The following is an 18,623-nucleotide window of genomic DNA, read 5'->3' on the forward strand; positions in this document are numbered from 1 at the left end:
GGGGGCCAGCAGGCCGGCCAGGGACAGCAGACCCTGCTATTGTGAGGTCAGCAGCTGCCCCTGCCCCCTCGCCTCAGCCGCATTCCGGGCCTTCAGGGTCAGGACCCAGCTGTTCCAACCACCCCGTGGCAGAGGTGGCCTGACCTCTGACCTCCAGCCCCCTGAGGGCCAAATGGCCAGTGGGTGCCCAGAACTGTCCCAGGTCTCTGGCTCACTCCAGGAATCCTCCTCCTAGAAGATGGAAGCTTCTTTGACCCGGCCAAGCCCAGGTGTGTCGTGGGGGAAGGGATATGGGATGCAGGCTTCCGCACCCACCCGTCTGACAGCCCACTGGCCACCAGCCACAGCCTCCAGGCCTGGCCATGCCAGGACATAGTTTTAGGCAACCAGGTGTGGTATGTCGGCAGTCACGGTTGGCACAGCTTCTGAAGGGATCAGGAAGGGTGGGTGCGTGGCTGCCCTGCAGGATGGGGCCCAGCAACAGCAGGAGCTGGACAGCAGCAACCAGGGCAGGCCAGGGCTACAGGGGCAGAGCCAGCCGAGAGCACGCTAGGACAGCATGGGAGGGGGCTGCAGGCCAAGGGATGCACCAGGCAGTGCTAGAGCCACCACAAGGGAGGCTGGGCCTGTTTCTGGGGGCACAGGGCCTTGGCATTGTCACATGGAGGTTGCAGCGAGCAGGCAGGTGCCCTGGAAGAGGCACCACATCTGGGCCATAACCTCAAGGAAGGGGATGGGCCAGGCGGCCCACCAGAGGCTGAGGACCAGGACCTAAAGACACACCTCCCCAGGGACAGGAGAGCCACCCTCACCCTCAGTGGTGACAGTGGTTTGCATTTTAGATCACATAAAGGACTTTCTTCTTCTATCCAATCTGTCTTTTTTTTTTTTTTTTTTTGAGATGGAGTCTTGCTCTGTCGCCCAGGCTGGAGTGCAGTGGCGCCATCTGGGCTCACTGCAAGCTCCGCCTCCCAGGTTCACGCCATTCTCCTGCGTCAGCCTGCCAAGTAGCTGGGACTACAAGTGCCCGCAACCACGCCTGGCTAATTTTTTTGTATTTTTTTTAGTAGAGTCGGGGTTTCACTGTGTTAGCCAGGATGGTCTCAATTTCCTGACCTCGTGATCTGCCCACCTCAGCCTCCCAAAGTGCTGGGATTACAGGCGTGAGCCACCGCGCCCAGCCTCCAATCTGTCTTTAAAGGGACACTTCTGCACAGTTACTTTGGTTTTCTGGCTTTTTCTTACATTATGATTATTATGTATTTTACATCATTTTTCTCTTTTGCTTGTTTGATGGTCTAGTTTCCACTTGCTGATTTGTAGACTGTCCTGGGATTCTCAAACTCCTTTCCCTGGCTACTCGAGTGGAGCCATCGCAGGGCCCCTCACCTGTGCGAGTGGGGGCAGTGCCCCTGAGACTAGTGCTCCAGGAGACTGGGGGCAACTGTACTGAATCCCAACAGAAATTGTGACAATTTAATTCTCGGCCGGGTGCAGGGGCTCACACCTGTAATCCCAGCACTTTGGGAGGTTGAGGCGGGCAGATCACCTGAGGTCAGGAGTTCGAGACCAACCTGGCCAACATGGTGAAACCCCATCTCTACTAAAAAAAAAAATACAAAAATTAGCTGGCCGCGATGGCAGGCACCTGTAATCTCAGCTACTCAGGAGGCTGAGGCTGGAGAATCACTTGAACCTGGGAGGCAGAGGTTGCAGTGAGCTGAGATCGTGCCACTGCACTCCAGCCTGGGCAACAGAATAAGACTCTGTCTCAACTACAATAAAATAATTCCTATAATTAGGAAGAAAATGGAGTAGAGTATTTTTATTTTTTTATTTTATTTTATTTACTTTTTTTTTTTTTTGAGATGGGGTCTCACTCTGTCACCCAGGCTGGAGTGCAGTGGTGCAATCATAGCTCATCGAAGCCTTGACCTCCCAGGCTCAAGGGATCCTCCTACCTCAGCCTCCCAAGTAGCTGGGACCACAGATGCATGCACCACCATGCCTGGCTAGTTTTTTTGTTTTTTTTTTTTGGTAGAAACAGGGTCTCGCTATGTTTTGTTTTGTTTTTTGAGATGGAATCTTGCTGTCACCCAGGCTGGAGTGCAGTGGCGTGATCTCAGCTCACTGCAAGCTCTGCCTCCCGGATTCAGGCCATTCTCCTGCCTCAGCCTCCCGAGTAGCTGGGACTACAGGTGCCCGCCACCACACCTGGCTGATTTTTTTTTGTATTTTTAGTAGAGACAGGGTTTCACCGTGTTAGCCAGGATGGTCTCTATCTCCTGACCTCGTGATCCCTCCGCCTTGGCCTCCCAAAATGCTGGGATTACAGGCGTGAGCCACTGCACCTGGCCCGGGGTCTCACTATGTTGCCCAGGCTGGCCTTAAACTCCTGGCCTCCTGCCTTGTTCTCCCAAAGTGCTGGGATTACAGGTGTGAGCCACCACACCTGGCCAAAGTAGAGTTTTTCTCTTTTTTTTTTTTTTTTTTTTTTTGAGACAGAGTCTCACTCTGTCACCCAGGCTGGAGTGCAATGGCACCATCTCGGCTCACTGCAACCTCCGACTCCTGGGTTCAAGCAATTCTCCTGCCTCAGCCTCCCAAGTAGCTGGGACTACAGGTGTGTGCCACCATGCCTGGCTAATTTTTTTGTATTTTTAGTAGAGACAGGGTTTCACCCTGTTGGCCAGGCTGTTTTCAAACTCCTGACCTCAGGTGATCCACCCACCTTGGCCTCCCAAAGTGCTGGGATTAGGGATTACAAGTATGAGCCACCAAGCCTGGCCTGGAGTAGAGTATTTCTGATAGTTGGAGAGATTTTACCCCAAAAGAATGAGGCTCGGCCAGGCGAGGTGGCTCATGCCTGTAATCCCAGCACTTTGGGAAGCCGAGGCGGGCGGATCACCTGAGGTCGGGAGTTTGAGGCCAGCCGGACCAACGTGAAGAAACCCCGTCTCTATTAAAAATACAAAATTAGCCAGGCGTGGTGGTGCATGCCTGTAATCCCAGCTACTCGGGAGGCTGAGGCAGAAGAATCGCTTGAACCTGGGAGGCAGAGGTTGTGGAGAGCCGAGATCACACCATTGCACACCAGCCTGGGCAACAAGAGTGAGACTCTGTCTCAAAAACAAAAAAACAAAAAAAAGAATGAGAGGCTCAGTCAGTCAACTTTCAACTCACACACTCCGAAAGCCAGAGGGTAAAGCGTGATAGGCAGAATTCTCAGAAGGCTTCCAGGATTTCCTGCTGTACATGCCGTGCATAATCCCCAGGACTGTGAATAAGATGGACTTTACTCCCATGATTAGGTTATGTTTTTTGACACTGCTGGGGGATAAAGGAGATGGTTTTGGGTGAGCCTAACCTAATCACGTGATCCTTCCAAAGGATGGGTCTCTTTCCAGTGGAAAGAACTCAAAGCATGAAAGAGATTCCACACAGGGGAGAGTCTCCACTGCTGGGGGAGTCTCAGAGCAAGGAATGTGGGCAGCTTCCAGGAGTTGACATATCATGGTAAAAATACTGGAAAGCAAAGACAAAGAGAAAGCTTTGAAAGTTAACAAGATAAAAAAATGATTCATCACATATAAGAGAACCCCAAATAAGATGAACACCTGACTCCTCAGAAGAAGCAGTGGAGACCAGAAGACTCAAAGTCAGAAAAACACTGTCAAGCAAGAATCCGATATTTAGGAAAACCACTTTTGAAAATGAAGGTGAAATAAAGACAGTTCAAGATGAACAAAGATAGAAAATGTGTTGGCCGGGCACAGTGGCACACGCCTGTCATCCTGGCACTTTGGGAGGCTGAGGCGGATGGATCACCTGAGGTCAGGAGTTCGAGACCAGCCTGACTAACATGGTGAAACCCCATCTCTACTAAATACATAAATTAGCCGGGCATGGTGGCAGATGCCTGTAATCCCAGCTACTTGGGAGGCTGAGGCCGGAGAATCGCTTGAACCCAAGAGGCGGAGGTTCAACCTGCCGAAACAACCTGCCAGCCTGCATTCCTTCCTGATAGAGACCACTGGCCACGGAGTGGCTCTACGGCTATGGAGGAAGCACAGGGAGGGGTTTTGTGTCCTCTGCTGCACCATTTGACGCTGGAAGCCTGAAAACCCCACCCTCAGATCACGATAATGCCACCATTTTTTGAACATGAGTCCCATGGGGAGGCATGAAGCTAAATTGTGCGTTTGTGTGCTCCCCTTTCATAAATATTCATGACTCCTCTTATAGCTCATTGAATATGTATATTTGGCCACTCCCTTCAGCATAAATTCCTGTTCCCCTTGCCCCTCCCATGAAGTGTCTGTTTTTGACTTCTGACTGGAGGCTACGCTTCCCTGCCTGTCAGAATGGCCGCCCTGCAGACTGCAACCCTTTATGAGAAATAAAGCTCTCCTTTCCAAATGTATAAACCTCGCCATTCTTCAGTTGACACCACCACCATGGCTGCCACTTTAGACGAACACGCTGCCCTGGCCCTTGGGAGGCAAGTCCAGTTCTCATGCTGTGGAATCTGACTGGCCTGTGCGGGAAGAGTGTGGGGAAGTGACGCTCTGTGTTCTCCGGGCCTCCACCTGAGACCCCACACAGGGCAGGACGCCCAGTGGGCTGTGTAGCCCTCTCACTTTGGAAATTGACCAAGGGGCATACAGCAAAGCAAGAAGCATTTATTCAAGAAGATCTACTAAGTCTTGATCAGAACAGGGGGAATCTGTGGTGCTTGAGCTCAGCCTGCTTCCCCCGGTCCCTGGCTCCATCATAAAAGCTCTACTCCAGGAGGTGCAGCTGAGGACACGGGTTCCTTCCTCCCAGCTCCTGGCTGCAAGGCAGAGGCACCACATAGGGAGGGACACGCCGAGAAGACGAGGCCTCCCGTCCCCCAACACCTGCCACAGCACAGGGGTCTCACTCCGGGAGAAGCAGGCCACCACGCCCACCCCCAGGTCCACAGATGCTGCCCCAGTGAGACGCGGTGGCAGGGCTGGCTGCTGCATGGGGCTGCCTTCCTTAGGAAGCACAGTGTGGGAAAGTCACGCCTAAGGTGCGTGGCAGGCTGTGGGAAGCTCAGTGGAGAGCAATTAGGAAAAAGCGGACAGCTGTGTGAAACTGATAGCAGCAAATGAAATGGCAGGCCAGCCTGGAGTGTAGCTGAAAACCAGGGACAGAGACAACAAAGAAAGGATCCTGCAGATACTGCATCCACCCCTGGGAGTCCAGAAGCCTCTGCACCGGTGCCAGGCTGCACCCAGGCTGAGTGGTTGGGTGTGCTGGCTGTCTATTGCTGCCCTCACAAATCACCACAGACTTGCAGGTTTAAAACAACAGAAACTTACTATCTTACAGTCCCGGAGACCAAAAGTCCAAGATGAGTCTTATGGGGCTAAAATCAAGGCTTTTACAGGGATGGTTCCTTCTGGAGGTTCCAGAGGAAAGCAGGTGCCCTGCCTCTTCCAGTTCCTGGTGTGTGCCGGGACTGCTTGGCTTGCAGCCACATCACTCTGATCTCTACCCAGGTGGTCCCACAGCCTTCTCTTCTCCTGTAGTCAAATCTCCCTCCATTTCCCTCCTAAAGGACGCTTGGAATGACATTCAGGGCCCACTGGGTCACCCGGGATCGCCTCCCCGCCTCAGCCTCCTTAACTGCATCTCATCTGCAAAGTCTTTTTTGCCAAATGAGGTACATTCATAGGCTTCAGTGATTCGGGCCTGAGTGTCTTTGGGGTTGTTATTTAGCCACCACGCTTGCTGAATGCGGAGCAGATTGGAAAGCTTTCCAACCACACACACATCCATCAGCAAAGGATGGAGCTGCTTTATCCCACCGAACCCCAGGCTGGAATCACCCCAAAAACAGCAGCATGGGGGTTCCCCCAAGGGAGTGCCCCAAACTGTCACAAGATTGAGCCTATTGGGTTTCCAAAGAAAGAAGCACTAAACGCCAGGGTGACTAGTCCAGAGCATTAATTAGGGGAACTCAGGGACAGAGAGCTGCAGCAGTCCTTGAAACAAGGAGAAAAAAGGGCTGTTCCGCCCGGGCGTGCCCAAAGCAAGGTGGCCGGGGAACGGAGTTTATGTGTGGGTTTAAGGCATTTGGCTCAGGGCCGGGCCAGTTTCTTTCTAGTAAACCCAGATCCTTTATTAGTGCCTGGGAAAGTTCAAGGTCCCGGTGTGGGTTCAAACCTGCTGGAAAAAAACTGCAGCTGTTGAGTCACAGAATGGTCAAGGCCCTCTGATTTTTGGTCAGGACACAGAAGGAAACTGGGAGAAGCTTGGGGGGCGTGGCTCACACCTGGAATCTCAGCACTTTGAGAGGCTGAGGTGGGTGGATCACGAGGTCAGGAGTTCAAGACCAGCCTGGTCAACATGGAGAAACCCCGTCTCTAATAAAAATACAAAATTGCGCTGGGTGTGGTGGCGGGTGCCTGTAATCCCAGCTACTTGGGAGGCTGAGGCGGGAGAACCGCTTGAACCCAGGAGGTGGAGGTTGCAGTGAGCCAAGATCACACCACTGCACTCCAGCCTGGGCAACAGAGCAAAACTCCATCTCAAAAAAAAAAAAAAAAATTGGGGCTGGGCGTGGTGGCTCATGCCTATAATCTCAGCACTTTGGGAGGCTGAGGCAGGTGGATCACCTGAGGTCAGGAGTTCAAGACCAGCCTGACCAAAATGATGAAACCCCATCTCTATTAAAAATACAAAACATTAGCCGGGCATGGTGGCGCACGCCTGCAATCCCAGCTATTCAGGAGGCTGAGGCAGGAGAATCCCTTGAACCCGGGAGGCAGAAGTTGCAGTGAGCCGAGGTCGCACCATTGCACTCCAGCCTGGGCAACAACAGCAAAACTCCGTCTTGAAAAAAAAAAAATTTTTTTTTCAGAGAAATTGAGGGACCTACAGGAGCCTCATTGGCTTGGGGAGGTTAAATACAACCTTTGACCAATTGGTGGTGAGCGCTAAACTAGGCTGACCCAGGCGTGATTTCTAGGAAGCCAGAAGTTCTTAAAAATAAGGAGGGAGGAGCGGAGCAGAGACAGAAGCTACACACTGTGGGGCAAACAGACACATGGAATTGGCCCAGGCAAACCACTAAACAACATGAAAAAACAGCAGCAAAATCACAAGGGCCATCGGCCAATCCTAACCCAAAGTTGATGTGATATACGCTCTAAAGTGTCCAGTTTCCTTTCTCCCTCCCCTCCCCCTCCCCTCCCCCTTCCCCTCTCCTCCCCTCCCCTCTCCCCTCCCCTCCCCCCTCCCCTCCCCCTTCCCCTCCCCCCTCCCCTCTCCCCTCCCCTCTCCCCTCCCCTCCTCCGCTCCCCTCTCCTCCCCTCCGCTCCCCTCTCCTCCCCTCTCCTCTCCTTTCCTTTCTGATGGAGTCTCACTCTGTCTCCCAGGCTGGAGTGCAGTGTCCCACTTCTCCCGCCTCAGCCTCCCAAGTAGCTGGGATTATAGGCATGCGCCTGGGATTACAGGTGCGTGCCACCACACGTGGCTAGTTTTTTGTATTTTTAGTACAGACAGGGTTTCACCATGTTGACCAGGCTGATCTCGAACTCCTGACCTCCCGCCTTGGCCTCCTAAAGTGCTGGGATTACAGGCATGAGCCACTTCACCCAGCCTAAAGTGTCCAGTTTTCTACAAAAATGATGAGACATGCAAAGAAAGAGGATAGTGTGACTCTTTATATTTTGTATTGATACATACATACTGTACATATTGGTCAGGTGTGGTGGCTTATGCCTGTGATCCCAGCACTTTAGGAGGCCAAGGCGGGAGGATCACTTGAGCCTAGGAGTTCAGGGCCAGCCTGGGCAACATAGCGAGATCACAGCTCCGCAAAAAAACACAAAAAAATTATCTGGGGGTGGTGGCATGCACCTGTAGTCTCAGCTACCGGGGAGGCTGAGGTGGGAGGATTGCTTGAGCCCAGGAGGTCGAGGCTGCAGAGAGCCAAGATCGTGCCACTGCACTGCAGCCTGGGTGACAGAGTGAGATGTTGTCTCAGAAAAATTAAAAAATAAAATAAATGTGTACATATTTATGGGGTATATGTGATACTGTGTTACATGCACAGAAAGTGTAAAGATCATGTCTGGGTATTTAGGGTATTTACGACATCCGTCACCTGGGTATGTGTCATTTCCGTGTGTTGGGAACATTTCAAGTCCTCACCTCAAGCTATTTTTAAATGTACAATGCCTTGTTTTGTTTTGTTTTTTTTTGAGACGGAGTCTCGCTCTGTTGCCCAGGCTGGAGTGCAGTGGCACAATCTCAGCTCACTGCAAGCTCCACCTCCCGGGTTCCAGTGATTCTTCTGCCTCAGCCTCCCAAGTAACTGGGATTACAGGCACATACCACCACACCGGGCTAATTTTTATATTTTTAGTAGAGATGGGATTTCACCATGGTGGCCAGGCTGGTCTTGAATGCCTGACCTCAAATGATCTGCCCGTCTCAGCCTCCCAAAGTGCTTGGATTACAGGTGTGAGCCACCGCGCCCGACCTACAATTTATACCTCCTATCTACCTGTATGTTTACCTACCCATTAACCAAACTCTCTTTACCACCACCCCGCAACATACACACGCACCATTCCCAGTCTCTGGGGACCATGATTCTATTGTCTACCTCCGCAAGATCAACTTTTTTAGCTCCCACATGTGAGTGAGAGCATTCCATGTGTGTCTTTCTGTGCCTGGCTTATTTCACTTAACATAATAACCTCCAGGGTGATGCAAATGACAGGATTTCATTCTTTTTGTGGCTGAAAGGTATTCTATTGTGTATACACACATTTTCTTTACCCATTCATCCACCGATGGACACGTGGGATGAATCCATATCTTGCCTACTGTGAACGGTGCTGCAATAAACAAGGGGGTGCAGGTGTCCCTTTGATATGTTGACTTCAGGATGGTATGACTGTCACACAGGATGAAGAGCAGGCAACAGTAAGTGCCTTTGAAGGGGCCCAGACTCTGGGCTTTGCAGGCAAAGATGTCAAAGCTTAGCTTATGCAAAGGCCCATGAACAGAGTGGCCATGGTGGCAGGGACAGTGGCTCTGTATGGTCCTACTGACTGCTGAATGTCCAGCCCATAGCAGCAGAGACCAAAGACCTCAAGTGTGGCCAGCGTGGTGGCTCACGCCTGTCATCCCAGCACTTTGGGAGGCCAAGGTGGGCGGATCACCTGAGGTCAGGAGACCAGCTTGGCCTACATGGTGAAACCCCATCTCTACTAAAAATACAAATACAAAAATTAGCCAGGCGTGGTGGCGGGCGCCTGTAATCCTAGCTACTTGGGAAGCTGAGGCAGGAGACTCGCCTGAACCCAGGAGGCGAAGATTGCAGTGAGTCAAGATCGCACCACTGCACTCCAGCCTGGGCGACAGAATGAGATTCCTTCTCAAAAAACAATAACAAAGACCTCAGGCCCCTCCCACCTGGAGGAGCAGCGATTCGTTCTTCCCAGAACCGACACCTACTCTGAACGCAACTTTGCTCTTCCTGCCAACAGCTCCTCCACCAGCACCTCTATCCCAAGCTTTCGGAATGTCTTACCTTCCACTGGACCATGATAAATACTAACGACCGGCCGGGTGTGGTGGCTCACACCTGTAATCCCACCACTTTGGGAGGCCAAAGCAGGCAGATCACTAGGTCAGGAGTTTGAGGCCAGACTGGCCAACATGGTAAAACCCCATCTCTACTAAAAATACAAAAATTAGCCAGACATGGTGGCACACGCCTGTAATCCCAGCTACTTAGGAGGCTGAGACATGAGAATCGCTTGAACACGGGAGGCAGAGGTTGCAGTGAGCCAAGATCATGCCATTGCACTCTAGCCTGGGTGACAGAGCGAGACTCTGTCTCAAAAAAAAAAAAAATCCTAACAACCCACCTTAGAGCCTACTGTGTGGCAATGAGCTCATGTTCCTGGGACTCACTGTCTCCCAAACCCTTGTCAGCCCAACGGAATAGTGGCACAGTCTGCTGAAGGCCCTGCCCCACTGCCTGCTGGATGTCAGCCCCTTCCAGGGAGGGGCACTTCTGCTGGGATACGGCCTGTGCTGCTGTAAGGAGTTGGCGCTCGAGAAACAGGCTCACCAGGAATCTCGGGGATCAGTTCCAGGATCCTCAGTCCCACAGCCCCTTCCCGGCTTGGGCCCCAACAAAGTATTTACAGAGTCATATATTTCGTAAAATTTGCAAAAGTGAAATATTTTAAACACAACCAGCTAAAACTGTCTCTTCCCCCTGCAACCTGCCATCAGTTACCCCCATCAGTTACCCCCTCCCCTGCTGCATAGAGCTGGAGGGGGTGTTGTGGGGTCCAGCTCCCGGGAGGTTGAGTTGAAGCTACGTTTTGCTTGGGCTTAGCGGGAACAGTCACTTCCCGATACAGTTATGCTATCGCTAGTCATTCTGGTGTAGAAATGGCTTCCGGAAACACCCACCTCCCTCGGCTGCATGTCATGACACAACAAGCTGATGAAATTGGCCAAGTGCCAACTCAAAGAGGATCTAAGATTAGTCACAAACAAGAAAACCCAAACTCAAATTCATTTTTTTGGGGCGGGGGGTGGTTCTGGGTTTTTTGGTTTGTTTTTTTGAGACAGCCTGGCTCTGTGGTATGGGCAGGAGTACCGTGGCACGATCATAGCTCACAGCATCCTCCAACTCCCTCGGCTCAGGCCACCCTCCCGTCTCAGTCTCTCAAGTAGCTGGAACTACAGGCGTGTGCCACCATACCCAGTTAATTTTTAAATTTTTTTTTGTAGAGATAGTGTGTCACTATGTTGCCCAGGCTGGTCTCGGACACCTGGCCTCAAGCGATCCTCCTGCCTCAGCTTCCCAAAGTGTTGGATTACAGGCACGAGCTACCTCACCCAGCCAAGCCCTGAACTGTTATGGCTCATATGTGGAAGAAATTTGATAAGCGGTTTCCTCCAATTTAATGACAATTCTAAAAATGTACATATTACCCAAAGGAGCTTTTACCTGAAAGCAACTTAATTATTAGTAATAAAATTAAATTTTGATCAAACATGTGAGAGGAGAAACTAAATCATTTTCTTGGTTTTTGTTTATTTGTTTTTTGTTTTGACAGGGTCTCATTCTGTTGCCCAGGCTGGAGTGCAGTGGTGTGACCACAGCTTACTGCAGCCTTGACCTCCTGGGCTCAAGTGAGCCTCCCACCTCCACCTCCCAAGTAGCTGGGACCACAGGTATGCACCACCATGTCCAGTTAATTTTTTTTTTTTTTTGAGACAGAGTCTCGCTCTGTCGCCCAGGCTGGAGTGCAGTGGTGCGATTTCGGCTCACTGCAACCTCCGCCTCCTGGGTTCACGCCATTCTCCTGCCTCAGCCTCCCGAGTAGCTGGGACTACAGGTGCCCGCCACCACGCCCGGCTAATTTTTGATATTTTTAGTAGAGTCAGGGTTTCACCGTGTTGGCCAGGATGGTCTCGATCTCCTGACCTCGTGATCTGCCCGCCTCGGCCTCCCAAAGTGCTGGGATTACAGGCGTGAGCCACCGCGCCCGGCCCATGTCCAGCTGATTTTTTGCATTTTTTGTAGAGATGGGGTTTTGCCATGTTGTCCAAGCTGATCTTGAACTCCTAGGCTCAAGTGATCCGCCTGCCTCTGCCTCCCAAAAGTGCTGGGATTACAAGCGCGAGCACCGCGTCTGCCATATTCTTTCTACATATAGAAGGTTACGTTATAAAAAGGTGTTGTCATCTTAAGAGAGCATCAGAGAACGCATCAAAGAAATGTAGGGGAAACCTGTTGGAGTCAAATATGTCAGGCAGGTTTTCTGCATTTTGTGATGTTTGTAGTATTTGACAACTTTTAAAATGTTTGTTATGTGTTGGGACTTCTTTTCTCACTATTCACTTAGTTTTGGATATACAATTTTGTCTTATGTTTCAAAAGAAGACTGCATAGAAGAGTTAACAGCAGGCCTGAGAAGCTCTTCTTCACAGGCAAGTTTGAAGAGTGGGTGTCTGGGAACTTGGGTTTTTCATGGTTCCCCCACTCTCTGGTAAGCGTGTCTCACTGTGCCTAGACTGTTTGTACAAATATGGCTCATGCTGAACACCTGTGTTGCTTCTAGGGGTCTGGAATTTGGGCACATGCTTGGCACAGACTGTGTATGTGACCAGCCCTCCATAAAACCCCAGGGCGCTGAGTGTCTAAGAAGCTTCCCTGGCAGACAGCATTTCACACACACGGCTCCAGCTTCTTCCCGTGGAGTCCACCAGGAGAGGACGTGGCCAGCTCACGCCTGATTTCCTGTGGAATTCATCCCATGCACCTTTTCTCTTTGCTGATTCAGACTTATATCCTCTCTGTGTAATAATCTTAGGCGTGAAGACAAGTCTATAGTGAGTCCTTCTAGCAAATCGGTTACTCTGGAGGGGTCTTGGGGATACCTCTCACGGCCCCTGAATTTGTATAAGCTTTAGGCCTCCAAAATTTGAATCGACCCATGTGTGTACCCTAAAGCTGGAGTACGAGGGTCAGAGAACCAAAGGTGTGAGGTAGGAGTGGCCCCATAATCCTAAACCTGTAATGCTGCCAGGTTGGAGGCCTGGTTCCTGAAGATGAATACTTCCACCAGGGAACACAGCAAAGGTTCCACTGATCTTGAAGTAGCGGCTATCACTGGCCCACTTTGGACACCTTAGGCTGAAGACCAACATCGTCCTCATTGTCCTGAGTTGCTACGGTCAATGCTACACAACTGGGGTGGGCAGTCCACAGAGCTCCCTGGGCGTCTAGTCTTCCCGCATGCGGCAAGGACTGTCAGTGGACAACCCAGTAATGGCCATGCGTGGTGGCGGGAGGCCGAGGCAGGTGGATCACCTGAGGTCAGGAGTTCAAGATCAGCCTGGTCAACATGGTGAAACCCCATCTCTACTAAAACTACAAAAAAAAAGTTAGCAGGGCATGGTGGTGCATGCCTGTAATCCCAGCTACCTGGGAGGCTGAGGTAGGAGAATCGTTTGAACCCAGGAGGTGGAGGTTGCAGTGAGCTGAGATTGTGCCACTGCACTCCAGCCTGGGTGACAGTGAGACTCCATCTCCAAAAAAAAAAAAAAAACCTTAGCCAGGCATAGTGGCAGGTGCCTGTAATCCCACCTTCCCAGCTACTTGGGAGGCTGAGATAGAAGAATCACTTGAACCCTGGAGGTGGAGGGTGCAGTGCGCTGACATTGTGCCACGGCACTCTAGCCTGGGTGCAGAGTAAGACTCCATCTCAAAAAACAAAACAAAACAAAGAAACAAACGAAAAAAACGATGACTCAGTAAGAACAGGGACAGTAAGAGCTCAGACTGAAAGGGGAAAAGGGCTCCACAATAAGCAGAGTGGCTGTAGAGCAGAGGGTGGGGAATCCGGGGTGGCAAGTGGCAGAGGGTGGTGACCCATCATGGCCTCAGACCAGCTGCAGCAGCAGGGTTGTGGCTTGCTCACTCACTCTCATGCCTCAGTCTTTCAGGAGAGCTTAACCACCTTGGAGGGGATGCTGTGACAACTGAACTTGGGCCCCTGCAGCAGACCACATTTCCCTAGCCCGCCTGCTCTTCCTACAGTCTAATATTGACACTCCTCCCACTGAAGGGTGGGGTCCCTGTCCTCATCCCTTAAGCCTGGGCAGATCTGTCTGACTGCCTTGACCCACAGAGTGTGGCAGGAGGGACACTATGTGACTTCTGAGGTTAGGTCCTAAAAATACCATGCACATGTTGTCCACCTTGTTGTCCTGGAAGGCTACCCTTGGAACCCAGTTGCCATACTGCAAGGAAGCCCTGGTTGCATGGAGAAGCCACATGTAGGTGTGCTGCCTGACAGGCACAGATGAGGTCCTGGCCCGCCACCAGCATCAGCCACCAAAGATGTGAGGGAGAAAGCTTTAGGATGGCTGCAGCCCCAGCTACCATCTGGCAGCAACTGTAGGAGAGATCCTAAGTGCAAACTATCTAGCTGAGCCTAGATAACCCCAGATTGCAGCACATAATAATAGAATGATTTTTATTATTTGAAGCCGCTGAGGTTAAGTGGCAAGAGATAAACAGACATACAACCCCTCTCTGGAAAGGATGAGGAAATCTGCATCCTCAAAGGGAAAAGGGAGGCCCACCTGACTGCAGTGTGGAAGCTCGGTGTAAAGGGAGGGCATGAGAGGACTGGAGAGGTGCCAGGTGTGGACCATCCTGGGACACCAGCCTGGTCACTTTCCTAGGACCGCTCAATGCCTTCTCCTGTCAGTGTCGCACCCCACTGGGTTCATCCTTCCACTTTCACACTTGGGGCGCGGGGAAGGGCTGAATGCAGGCACCACTGGTCACGAGGGCGTGACTGGGCAATTCCTCCTTCGGCGGGCGCCCACCTCCTGGCACCCGTGGCACAGCTCCGGGAACGGCTGCGGGCCCAGCCGCTGCTTCCCCGATAGCGCCGCCGCAGTTCCCCGGAGACAGAAGTAGAGCCGGACCGCCGGAAACCGTAGATCCGGGGAGGTCGGGGCCGCGGTGAACTCCAGTTCACCAGGACAGGAAGTGACAGCGGAACGCCGGAAACCGCAGATCCACGGAGGTCAGGGCCGCGGAGAGCTGTAGTTCCCCGGAACCGGAAGTGATGGCGGACCTCCGGAAACCGTAGATTCCGGGCGGTCGGAGCCGCCGGGAGCTGTAGTTCTCCCGCGGCTCAGAGAAGTAGGCAGAGAGCGGACCTGGCGGCCGGGCAGCATGGCGGGGCTGGAGCTCTTGTCGGACCAGGGCTACCGGGTGGACGGGCGGCGCGCCGGGGAGCTGCGCAAGATCCAGGCGCGGATGGGCGTGTTCGCGCAGGCTGACGGCTCGGCCTACATTGAGCAGGGCAACACCAAGGCACTGGCTGTGGTCTACGGCCCGCACGAGGCGAGTGGGCGCGCGGGATGGGGAATCGTGTGGCCGTGGGAGCTGCGGGGCAGCCGGGCTGAGCGCTGGCTCGGGGACTTGAGGGGCAACGGCCGGCGCGCCTCAGTCTACACAGCCGATGCTCAGCACCGCATCTCACTCGGAGTAAACGCAAGTCCTTAGTGTGCTGCGCGGTGGTCCTGCCTTTCTCATCGGCCTCTGTCCCTGCGCCCTCCTTCCTCTTTGCGGCTCTTCAACGTGCTAGGCACTCCCCCACTCGCTCCCTCTCCTTTCAGCTCTACTCCGACGTCACTCCTTCCCAGACGACCTTATTATCCACGCGGTACTTCTCGCCCTACAATAAACCCTTTGTTTTGTGCACCTACAATCTCAAATGCCTATTTTGCTTAAGCATTTTCCCCTTTGTTTCCTCGCTGGAACATAAGCTTCCTAAAGAAAGGAACTTTACATAAAACTATCTGGTTTCATTACTGTGCTTCCAGCGCTGTAACTGCCTGGCCAGCGAAGGTATTGAAAGAGTGTTTGCTTAGCGCATGAGTGTGGGAGCTCTGCTTTCCAGGCGGAGGGAACCAGAAGGGCGAAGACCACGGTGGTGAAAACAAGCAAGGCACTTATGCAGAGCAGAAAGACTGCTGGTGGGGAAAGAGGGGATAACTCCAAATCAGGTTGAGGGTTCCCGGGGAGGTGAGGACTTAGGGTTTTGTAGAGTAGGGAAATGATTTGGGATCTTATTTCATATGTAATGTGAAACCTTTGTAAGGTAGTTAGGATTTGAGTGTGTAGGTGAGACAGAAGCAGCGTTGATGTTTGTAAACTTGGGTTGGCAGGGAATGGGGCAAGGATGGACACAAGGAAGCCAATTAAAAGGTGCCAGAGGGCGACACATGCAAGACAGAGAGCGCAAAACAGGGGGCTTTGTTTTGGAGGTAACGCAGTTGCCCCTTGCTGAGGCATTGAAAGTGGAGGGAGAGGCAGACCCACAGAGGACAGTGGAGTGTGAGCTGGAAGGAGTGGGCCTGGCTCATGTGTCTGTCCTCTTCCAGATCCGGGGCTCCCGGGCTCGAGCCCTGCCGGACAGGGCCCTAGTGAACTGTCAATATAGTTCAGCGACCTTCAGCACAGGTGAGCGCAAGCGACGGCCACATGGGGACCGTAAGTCCTGTGAGATGGGCCTGCAGCTCCGCCAGACTTTCGAAGCAGCCATCCTCACACAGCTGCACCCACGCTCCCAGATTGATATCTATGTGCAGGTGAGCCAGCTGCAGCCGTCAATCCAGGGAGGGAAGGGTGTGATGGGGTTGGGGAGGGAGTCTGATAGACTGACACCCTGGGTTCCCTGCAGGTGCTACAGGCAGATGGTGGGACCTATGCAGCTTGTGTGAATGCAGCCACGCTGGCAGTGCTGGATGCCGGGATACCCATGAGAGACTTTGTGTGTGCGTGCTCAGCTGGCTTCGTGGACGGCACAGCCCTGGCGGACCTCAGCCATGTGGAGGAAGCAGCTGGTGGCCCCCAGCTGGCCCTGGCCCTGCTGCCAGCCTCAGGACAGATTGCGCTGCTTGAGATGGATGCCCGGCTGCACGAGGACCACCTGGAGCGGGTGTTGGAGGCTGCTGCCCAGGCTGCCCGAGATGTGCACACCCTCTTAGATCGAGTGGTCCGGCAGCATGTGCGTGAGGCCTCTATCTTGCTGGGGGACTGACCACCCAGCCACCCATGTCCAGAATAAAACCCTCCTCTGCCCACACACCCCTCACTGTACGTTATCACCTAACAGCACTTCAGAGCCATGTGAAGGCTGGCAGAGCCTGGTCTGGTGCTGGCTCCTGGGGATGATTAGGGACCCTCGCCCACACATGAACGGCCTATCTCTGTGTAGCCTGATTCAAACCCTGAAGAGAACAGTGGATTAGGGGGTTTCTGTAGGGGAGGCCCTGGGTGGAAAAAGCAGCATGTCCCAGTAAGGACTCAAGGCAGCTGAGCAGGAGGCAGGGCCTGGCAAGATGAGCCAGGCCATTAGACTGAGGAATCTGTTACCCTTATTCCAGCACATCGGGGGCCCTGAGCAAAGGGCTGAGGAAGAACTCAGCTGGCTCTGGGTACCCACCCTAGGGATGTGGGGGCCATGTCCCACAACCTCTGGACTATGGTTTGGAGCCCCCTGGGCTTTTCCTGCTGCTTACCTTGGGCTCTGAAAGTACAACAGCCAGGCATGGTGGCTCACGCCTGTAATCCCAGAGCTTTGGGAGGCTGAGGCAGGCGGATTGCTTCAGGTCAGGAGTTTGAGACCAGCCTGGCCAACATGGCGAAACCCCGTCTCTACTAAAAATACAAAATTAGCTGGGAGTGGTGGCACATGCCTGTAATCCAAGCTACTCAGGAGGCTGAGACAGGAGAATCTCTTGAACCTGGGAGGCGGAGGTTGCAGTGAGCCGAGATTGTGCCACTGCACTCCAGCCTGGGCGACAGAGCAAGACTCCATCTAAAAAAAAATAAAAGTACAAAAATTACCTGTTCTCATGGATCACTTGAGGTCAGGAGTTCGAGACCAGCCTGGCCAATGTGGTAAAACCCCATCTCTATTAAAGACACAAAAATTAGTGTGGTGGCAGGCACCTGTAATCCCAGCTACTAGGGAGGCTGGGGCAGGAGAATCACTTGAACCAGGAGTTGAAGGTTGCAGTGAGCCAAGATTACACCACTGCACTCCAGCCTGGGTGACAGAGCAAGACTCTGTCTCAAAAAAAAAACAAAAAAAAACTTGTTCTCACATGGAGTCTTCAGCTTTGACCCTTCTCTCTGCCCACCACTATTTTGTTTGTTGAGACATGGTCTTGCTCTGTGCTCAGGCTGGAGTGCAGTGGTGTGATCACGGCTCACTGCAGTCTGGATCTCCCAGGCTCAAGTGATCCTCCCACTTTAGCCTCCTGAGCTGAGACTACAGGCATGCCCCACTCACCTGGCTAATTTAAAAGGAATTTTTTTGTGTGTACAGACTGGGTCTCATTTCGTTGTCCAGGCTGATCTCAAAGGATCCACCCACCTCACCTTCCCAAAGTGCACCCTCTTGAGCAAACTCCCCCTTCATTCACCTCTGGCCCACCGAGCCCCGACTACCAGTCCCTGCAGTCTGGACCCTGGGACTGCTTCTCCCCTAATATTCCACGGATCTCCTGGCCCGGACAGTGACAGTATGATCCCCCACTTTATAATGCACACACCCCAGCTCCAGTGAAGCCCGTTTTGGCCAGTAGTGCCATCAGCATCTTCTCTGCAGTCATCTGACTCTGAAAACCTCGGTGCTGGGCTCACGCTGTGACTCCACTGGGACGTCCTGAGTCATTGGCAGTCTCGCTTGGCATCCATTCTCTGACCGCCGCCGGCTTTCCACCCACCTGCCCGGCTCATCACCTCTGACTCCTGCGGGCCTTCCAGCCGGCGCTATCTCGCAGCCCCCGACCAGCTCGGCCTGCTGTCGGGCATCTCTGCTGTCCTCCGGCTGTAGGGCTACCTGCCTCCCTCCCGGGGGGTGCACTGCGAGTCCGACTCTAGTGGGGGCAGCGCCTAGCGGACTCCCAAACCCGCTCAGGTCCTGCCGGCCTCACCGGCACCGCCCACCCTCCAGCCGGCCGCGGCTCTGCGCTTGCGCGCCGGCAGCACACAGTGTTAGGGGCGCGCCCTCTGC

General features: G+C 53.0%; 1 protein-coding gene, 1 long non-coding RNA gene and 1 other non-coding gene across 4 annotated transcripts, besides 2 other annotated features; 2 read left to right on the forward strand and 1 right to left on the reverse strand.

Moving 5' to 3' along the window:
* EXOSC4 (exosome component 4) lies at window positions 95-16,687 on the forward strand. Of its 2 annotated transcripts, none has more exons than XM_011517134.4 (3): window positions 95-269; window positions 15,982-16,188; window positions 16,281-16,687. In XM_011517134.4, exons 2-3 carry the CDS (start codon window positions 16,105-16,107, stop codon window positions 16,638-16,640), a joined length of 444 nt encoding a protein of 147 aa, XP_011515436.1. In that variant the 5' UTR covers window positions 95-269; window positions 15,982-16,104; the 3' UTR covers window positions 16,641-16,687. The 2 variants fall into 2 exon arrangements, with proteins under 2 accessions (XP_011515436.1, NP_061910.1); NM_019037.3 differs by lacking the exon at window positions 95-269 and adding an exon at window positions 14,711-14,938.
* LOC124902038 (uncharacterized) lies at window positions 14,038-18,606 on the reverse strand. The gene is made up of 2 exons (XR_007061141.1): window positions 18,160-18,606; window positions 14,038-17,420 (listed from the first exon to the last, which is right to left on the reverse strand). It is a non-coding gene; the product is annotated as an uncharacterized LOC124902038 (long non-coding RNA).
* Window positions 14,423-14,472: an enhancer, noted in NCBI's record as "active region_28086". NCBI's record gives its function as "activates an Ori minimal core promoter by ATAC-STARR-seq in GM12878 lymphoblastoid cells {active_cell/tissue: GM12878}" and the evidence as "EXISTENCE:reporter gene assay evidence [ECO:0000049][PMID:35858748]".
* Window positions 14,483-14,782: an enhancer, noted in NCBI's record as "active region_28087". NCBI's record gives its function as "activates an Ori minimal core promoter by ATAC-STARR-seq in GM12878 lymphoblastoid cells {active_cell/tissue: GM12878}" and the evidence as "EXISTENCE:reporter gene assay evidence [ECO:0000049][PMID:35858748]".
* On the forward strand, window positions 15,913-15,981 carry MIR6847 (microRNA 6847). The gene has a single exon (NR_106906.1). It is a non-coding gene; the product is annotated as a microRNA 6847 (primary transcript).
* Window positions 18,607-18,623: the final 17 nt, after the last annotated feature.

Source organism: Homo sapiens, chromosome 8, assembly GCF_000001405.40.
Source record: "Homo sapiens chromosome 8, GRCh38.p14 Primary Assembly".
Taxonomy (NCBI): Eukaryota; Metazoa; Chordata; class Mammalia; order Primates; family Hominidae; genus Homo; species Homo sapiens.